At 39.9% G+C, this 8,197-nt stretch overlaps 1 annotated feature.

Annotated features, from left to right (window-relative positions):
* Positions 3,724-4,309: an enhancer, noted in NCBI's record as "NANOG-H3K27ac-H3K4me1 hESC enhancer chr3:135377721-135378306 (GRCh37/hg19 assembly coordinates)". NCBI's record gives its function as "activates a minimal SCP1, AML or CMV promoter by ChIP-STARR-seq in naive H9 embryonic stem cells {active_cell/tissue: H9 hESC(naive)}" and the evidence as "EXISTENCE:reporter gene assay evidence [ECO:0000049][PMID:30033119]".

Consider the following 8,197-nt stretch of genomic DNA (forward strand, 5'->3'; position numbering starts at 1 on the left):
AAGGGAAGGACACAAGCCTGGTTGGCTTCACCACATACCGATGGTAGAGCCCTAGGCCCTTGAACGTACATTGGTGGTAGCCAGCCAGTGTTTTCCATGATCCTGGGATAAGACCAATTGCTATGCTGGCTTCACATCTCACGCCACGCAGCACAGTTCCATTGGTGATGGCCACAGGAGTGCTTGTATCATCCCTCCTCCAGCTCCAGGCAGCCCAGCACAGAGAGACTCTTTGTTTGGGAGAAAGTAAGGAAAGAGAACAAGAGATTCTGCCTGGTGGTCCACATAATTTTTCTGAACCTTATCCAAGGCCACCAAGGAGGTCCCTCTAGGAGGCTGAAAGAGCCATAGCATTGCTGGGCTTGGGGTGCCCCCTAAGGCAGATAAACTGCAGTGACCAAAGACTTAGGTCACAACACCAAAGTCTCTTTAATACCTGGAAAGCCTTCCAAATAAGAATGGGTACAAACAAGCACAGACTAAAAAGACCTCAATAAATACCTAACTCTTCAATTCCCCAACACTGACAAACATCCACAACCATCAAGACCATGTAGGAAAATACGACCTCACCAAATGAACTAAATAAAGCACCAGTGGCCTTTCAGACAGAGAATACGAAATGGCTGTTTTGAGAAAACTCAACAAAATTCAAGACTCACAGAGAAGGAATTCAGAATTCTATCAGATAAATTTAACAAAAATATTCAAATAATCAAAAAGAATCAAACATAAATTCTGGATCTGAAAAATGTAATTTGACACAATGAAGAATACATCAGAACCTTATAATAGCAGAATTGATAATGCAGAAGAAAGAATTAGTGAGCTTGAAGACAGCCTATTTGAAAATACACAGTCAGAGAAAACAAAATAAAAAAACATAAAAAAGCATGAACCATGCCTACAAGATCTAAAAAGTGGCCCCAAAAGGGCAAATCTAAGAGTTATTAGCTTAAAGAGGAGGTAGAGAGAAATAGGGGTAGAAAGTTTATTCAAAGAGATAACAACAGATAATTTCCCAAACCTAGAGAAAGATATCAATATTCAAGTACAAAAAGGTTACAGAACACAAAGCAGATTTAACTGAAAGAAGACTACCTCATGACATTTAATAATCAAACTCCCAAAGATCAAGGATAAAGAAAGGATCCTAAAAGTAGCAAGAGAAAAGAAACAACATACAATGAAGCTTCAAAACATCTGGCAACAGACTTTTCAGTGGAAACCCAGGCCAGGAAAGAGTGGCATGATATATTCAAAGTGCTGAAGGAAAAAAAAACTTTTATCCTAGAATAGTATATCCAGTGAAAATATCCTCCAAACATGAAGGAGAAATAAAGACTTTAACAGATAAACAAAAGCTGAGAGATTTCATCAACATCACACCTATCCTGTAAGAAACGCTGAAGAGAGTACTTCAATCAGAAAGAAAAGAACATTAATGAGCAATAAATAATCACCTGAAGGTACAAAACTCACTATTAATAGCAAGCTCAAAGAAAAACACAGAATATTATGACACTGTAATTGTGGTGTGTAAACTACTTTTATCCAAAGTAGAAAGATTAAACAATGAACCAATGAAAAATAATAACTACAACTTTTCAAGGCACAGTAGTACAGTAAGATATAAACAGAAACAACAAAAAGTTTTAAAGTTGGCAGATGAAGTTAAGGCGTAGAGTTTTTATTAGTTTTGGGGGATAAAGTTAAGGCATAGAGTTTTTAGGTATTTTCTCTTTGCTTATTTGTTTGTTTGTTTATGCAAATAGTGTTAAGTTGTTATCAGGTTAAAATAATGGGTTATAAGATAGGATTTGCAAACCTCGTGGTAACCTCAAACTGGAAAACATACAATGGATACACAAAAAATAAAAAGTGAGATACTAAATCATATCACCAGAGAAAATCACCTTCACTAGAGGAAGACAGGAAGGAAGGAAAGAAAGAAGGAAGAGAATACCACAAAACAACCAGAAAATAAATTTAAAAATGGCAGGAGTAAGTATTCAGTTATTAATAATAATATTGAATGTAAATAGATTAAGTTCTCCAATCAAAAGACGTAGACTGGCTGAATGAAAAAAAAGAAAAGACAAAACCCATTGATATGTTGCTTATAAGAAACACATTTCACCTATAAAGACACACATTGACTAAAAATAAAGGGATGGAAAAAGATATTCCACACCAATGGAAACTAAAAAAGAGCAGGGGTCAGCCAGGCACAGTGCCTCATGCCTGTAGTCCCAGCACTTTGGGAGGCCAAGGCAAGTGGATCACTTGAGCCCAGGAGTTCAAGACCAGCCTAGGCAACATAGCAAAATCCCATCTCTACAAAAAATACTAAAATTTGCTAGGTTTGGTTGTGCACACCTGTAGTCCCAGCTACTTGGGAGGCTGAGGTGGGAGAATCACTCGAGCCTGAAAGGTCAAGCCTGCAGTGAACTAAGCTCTCATCACTGCCCTACAGCTTGGGTAACAGAGTGAGACTCTGTCTTAAAAAATTAAGTAAATAAATAAAAGATCAGGAGTCACTATACTTACATCAGACAAATAGATTTCAAGACAAAAACCATAAGAAGAGACAAAGAAAGTAACTTTATAATGATAAAGAGGCCAATTCAGCAAGAGGATAGAACAATTTTAAATATATATACACCCAACACTGAAGCACCCAGATATATAAAGGAAATATTGTTAGAGCTAAAGAGACAGATAGGCCCCAGTACAAAATAGCTGGACACTTCAGCGCCCCACTTTCAGCATCTTTAAGAGAGAAAATCAACAAAGAAACATCAGATTTAATCTGCACAATTGGATTTAATAGATATTTACAAAACATTTCATCCAAGAGCTGCAGAATACATTCTTTTCCTCAGCACATAGATCTTCTTAAGGATAGGCCATATGTTAGGTCACAAAACAAGTCTTAAAACATTTTTAAAAATTGAAATAATGTCAAGCATCTTCTCTGACCACCGTGGAGTAAAGCTAGAAATCAATAACAAGAGGAATTTTGGAAACTATACAAATACATGGAAATTAAACAATGTGCTCTTGAATGACCAGTGGGTCAATGAATAAATTAAGAAAAAAACTGAGAATTTTTTTGAAACAAATGATAATGGAAACACAACATACCAAAACTTACGGGATACAGCAAAAGATGTACTCAGAAAGAAGCTTATAGTTACAAGTGCCTACATTTAAAAAGAGGAAAAACTTCAAATAAACCATCTAATGATGCGTCTTAAAGAACTAGAAAAGCAAGAGCAAACCAAACCCAAAACAAGCAGAAGAAAAAGCATAAAGACCAAAGCAGAAATAAATGGAATTGAAATGAAAAAAAATACAAATTATCAATGAAATAAGAAGGTGGTTTTTTGAAATGTGAAACAATATTGATGAACCTTTAACCAGACTAAGAAAAAAAGAGAAAATGGAGGGAGGAGCCAAGATGGCCAAATAGGAACAGCTCCTGTCTACAGCTCCCAGCGTGACCGACGCGGAAGACCGGTGATTTCTGCATTTCCATCTGAGGTACCGGGTTCAGCTCACTAGGGAGTGCCAGACAGTGGGCGCAGGCCAGTGGGTGCGCGCACGGTGCGCGAGCCGAAGCAGGGCGAGGCATTGCCTCACCTGGGAAGCCCAAGGGGTCAGGGAGATCCCTTTCCAAGTCAAAGAAAGGGGTGACAGACGCACCTGGAAAATCGGGTCACTCCCACCCGAATATTGCGCTTTTCAGACCGGCTTAAAAAACGGCGCACCACGAGACTATATCCCACGCCTGGCTCTGAGGGTCCTACGCCCACGGAATCTCGCTGATTTCTAGCACAGCAGTCTGTGATCAAACTGCAAGGCAGCAGCCAGGCTGGGGGAGGGGCGCCCACCATTGCCCAGGCTTGCTTAGGTAAACAAAGCAGCCTGGAAGCTCGAACTGGGTGGAGCCCACCACAGCTCAAGGAGGCCTGCCTGCCTCTGTAGGCTCCACCTCTGGGGGCAGGGCACAGACAAACAAAAAGACAGCAGTAACCTCTGCAGACTTAAATGTCCCTGTCTGACAGCTTTGAAGAGAGCAGTGGTTCTCCCAGCACGCAGCTGGAGATCTGAGAACCAGCAGACTGCCTCTTCAAGTGGGTCCCTGACCCCTGACCCCCGAGCAGCCTAACTGGGAGGCACCCCCCAGCAGGGGCACACTGACACCTCACACGGCAGGATATTCCAACAGACCTGCAGCTGAGGGTCCTGTCTGTTAGAAGGAAAACTAACAAACAGAAAGGACATCCACACCAAAAACCCATCTGTACATCACCATCATCAAAGACCAAAAGTAGATAAAACCACAAACATGGGGAAAAAACAGAACAGAAAAACTGGAAGTTCTAAAAATCAGAGCACCTCTCCTCCTCCAAAGGAACGCAGCTCCTCACCAGCAACAGAACAAAGCTGGATGGAGAATGACTTTGACGAGCTGAGAGAAGTAGGCTTCAGACGATCAAATTACTCTGAGCTACGGGAGGACATTCAAACCAAAGGCAAAGAAGTTGAAAACTTTGAAAAAAATTTAGAAGAATGTATAACTAGAATAACCAATACAGAGAAGTGCTTAAAGGAGCTGATGGAGCTGAAAACCAAGGCTCGAGAACTACGTGAAGAATGCAGAAGCCTCAGGAGCCGATGCGATGTCAGCAATGGAAGATGAAATGAATGAAATGAAGCGAGAAGGGAAGTTTAGAGAAAAAAGAATAAAAAGAAATGAGCAAAGCCTCCAAGAAATATGGGACTATGTGAAAAGACCAAATCTACGTCTGATTGGTGTACCTGAAAGTGATGGGGAGAATGGAACCAAGTTGGAAAACACTCTGCAGGATATTATCCAGGAGAACTTCCCCAATCTAGCAAGGCAGGCCAACGTTCAGATTCAGGAAATACAGAGAACGCCACAAAGATACTCCTCGAGAAGAGCAACTCCAAGACACATAATTGTCAGATTCACCACAGTTGAAATGAAGGAAAAAATGTTAAGGGCAGCCACAGAGAAAGGTCGGGTTACCCTCAAAGGGAAGCCCATCAGACTAACAGCTGATCTCTCGGCAGAAACCCTACAAGCCAGAAGAGAGTGGTGGCCAATATTCAACATTCTTAAAGAAAAGAATTTTCAACCCAGAATTTCATATCCAGCCAAGCTAAGCTTCATAAGTGAAGGAGAAATAAAATACTTTACAGACAAGCAAATGCTGAGAGATTTTGTCACCACCAGGCCTGCCCTAAAAGAGCTCCTGAAGGAAGCGCTAAACATGGAAAGGAACAACCGGTACCAGCCGCTGCAAAATCATGCCAAAATGTAAAGACCATCGAGACTAGGAAGAAACTGCATCAACTAACGAGCAAAATCACCAGCTAACATCATAATGACAGGATCAAATTCACACATAACAATATTAACTTTAAATGTAAATGGACTAAATGCTCCAATTAAAAGACACAGACTGGCAAATTGGATAAAGAGTCAAGACCCATCAGTGTGCTGTATTCAGGAAACCCATCTCACATGCAGAGACACACATAGGCTCAAAATAAAAGGATGGAGGAAGATCTACCAAGCAAATGGAAAACAAAAAAAGGCAGGGGTTGCAATCCTAGTCTCTGATAAAACAGACTTTAAACCAACAAAGATCAAAAGAGACAAAGAAGGCCATTACATAATGGTAAAGGGATCAATTCAACAAGAAGAGCTAACTATCCTAAATATTTATGCACCCAATACAGGAGCACCCAGATTCATAAAGCAAGTCCTGAGTGACCTACAAAGAGACTTAGACTCCCACACAATAATAATGGGAGACTTTAACACCCCACTGTCAACATTAGACAGATCAACGAGACAGAAAGTCAACAAGGATACCCAGGAATTGAACTCAGCTCTGCACCAAGCGGACCTAATAGACATCTACAGAACTCTCCACCCCAAATCAACAGAATATACATTTTTTTCAGCACCACACCACACCTATTCCAAAATTGACCACATAGTTGGAAGTAAAGCTCTCCTCAGCAAATGTAAAAGAACAGAAATTATAACAAACTATCTCTCAGACCACAGTGCAATCAAACTAGAACTCAGGATTAAGAATCTCACTCAAAGCCGCTCAACTACATGGAAACTGAACAACCTGCTCCTGAATGACTACTGGGTACATAACGAAATGAAGGCAGAAATAAAGATGTTCTTTGAAACCAACGAGAACAAAGACACAACATACCAGAATCTCTGGGATGCATTCAAAGCAGTGTGTAGAGGGAAATTTATAGCACTAAATGCCCACAAGAGAAAGCAGGAAAGATCCAAAATTGACACCCTAACATCACAATTAAAAGAACTAGAAAAGCAAGAGTAAACACATTCAAAAGCTAGCAGAAGGCAAGAAATAACTAAAATCAGAGCAGAACTGAAGGAAATAGAGACACAAAAAACCCTTCAAAAAATCAATGAATCCAGGAGCTGGTTTTTTGAAAGGATCAACAAAATTGATAGACCACTAGCAAGACTAATAAAGAAAAAAAGAGAGAAGAATCAAATAGACACAATAAAAAATGATAAAGGGGATATCACCACCAATCCCACAGAAATACAAACTACCATCAGAGAATACTACAAACACCTCTATGCAAATAAACTAGAAAATCTAGAAGAAACGGATAAATTCCTCGACACATACACTCTCCCAAGACTAAACCAGGAAGAAGTTGAATCTCTGAATAGACCAATAACAGGAGCTGAAATTGTGGCAATAATCAATAGCTTACCAACCAAAAAGAGTCCAGGACCAGATGGATTCACAGCCGAATTCTACCAGAGGTACAAGGAGGAACTGGTACCATTCCTTCTGAAACTATTCCAATCAATAGAAAAAGAGGGAATCCTCCCTAACTCATTTTATGAGGCCAGCATCATTCTGATACCAAAGCCAGGCAGAGACACAACAAAAAAAGAGAATTTTAGACCTATATCCTTGATGAACATTGATGCAAAAATCCTCAATAAAATACTGGCAAACCGAATCCAGCAGCACATCAAAAAGCTTATCCACCATGATCAAGTGGGCTTCATCCCTGGGATGCAAGGCTGGTTCAATATACGCAAATCAATAAATGTAATCCAGCATATAAACAGAACCAAAGACAAAAACCACATGATTATCTCAATAGATGCAGAAAAAGCCTTTGACAAAATTCAACAACCCTTCATGCTAAAAACTCTCAATAAATTAGGTATTGATGGGACGTATTTTAAAATAATAAGAGCTATCTATGACAAACCCACAGCCAATATCATACTGAATGGGCAAAAACTGGAAGCATTCCCTTTGAAAACTGGCACAAGACAGGGATGCCCTCTCTCACCACTCCTATTCAACATAGTGTTGGAAGTTCTGGCCAGGGCAATTAGGCAGGAGAAGGAAATAAAGGGTATTCAATTAGGAAAAGAGGAAGTCAAATTGTCCCTGTTTGCAGATGACATGATTGTATATCTAGAAAACCCCAGCCCAAAATCTCCTTAAACTGATAAGCAACTTCAGCAAAGTCTCAGGATACAAAATCAATGTACAAAAATCACAAGCATTCTTATACACCAACAACAGACAAACAGAGAGCCAAATCATGAGTGAACTCCCATTCACAATTGCTTCAAAGAGAATAAAATACCTAGGAATCCAACTTACAAGGGATGTGAAGGACCTCTTCAAGCAGAACTACAAACCACTGCTCAAGGAAATAAAAGAGGATACAAACAAATGGAAGAACATTCCATGCTCATGGGTAGGAAGAATCAATATTGTGAAAATGGCCATACTGCCCAAGGTAATTTACAGATTCAATGCCATCCCCATCAAGCTACCAATGACTTTCTTCACAGAATTGGAAAAAACTACTTTAAAGTTCATATGGAACCAAAAAAGAGCCCGCATCGCCAAGTCAATCCTAAGCCAAAAGAACAAAGCTGGAGGCATCACACTACCTGACTTCAAACTTTACTACAAGGCTACAGTAACCAAAACAGCATGGTACTGGTACCAAAACAGAGATATAGATCAATGGAACAGAACAGAGCCCTCAGAAATAACACCGCATACCTACAACTGTCTGATCTTTGACAAACCTGAGAAAAACAAGCAATGGGGAAAGGATT

The sequence above is a fragment of the Homo sapiens genome, chromosome 3 (assembly GCF_000001405.40).
Source record: "Homo sapiens chromosome 3, GRCh38.p14 Primary Assembly".
NCBI classification, from domain to species: domain Eukaryota; kingdom Metazoa; phylum Chordata; class Mammalia; order Primates; family Hominidae; genus Homo; species Homo sapiens.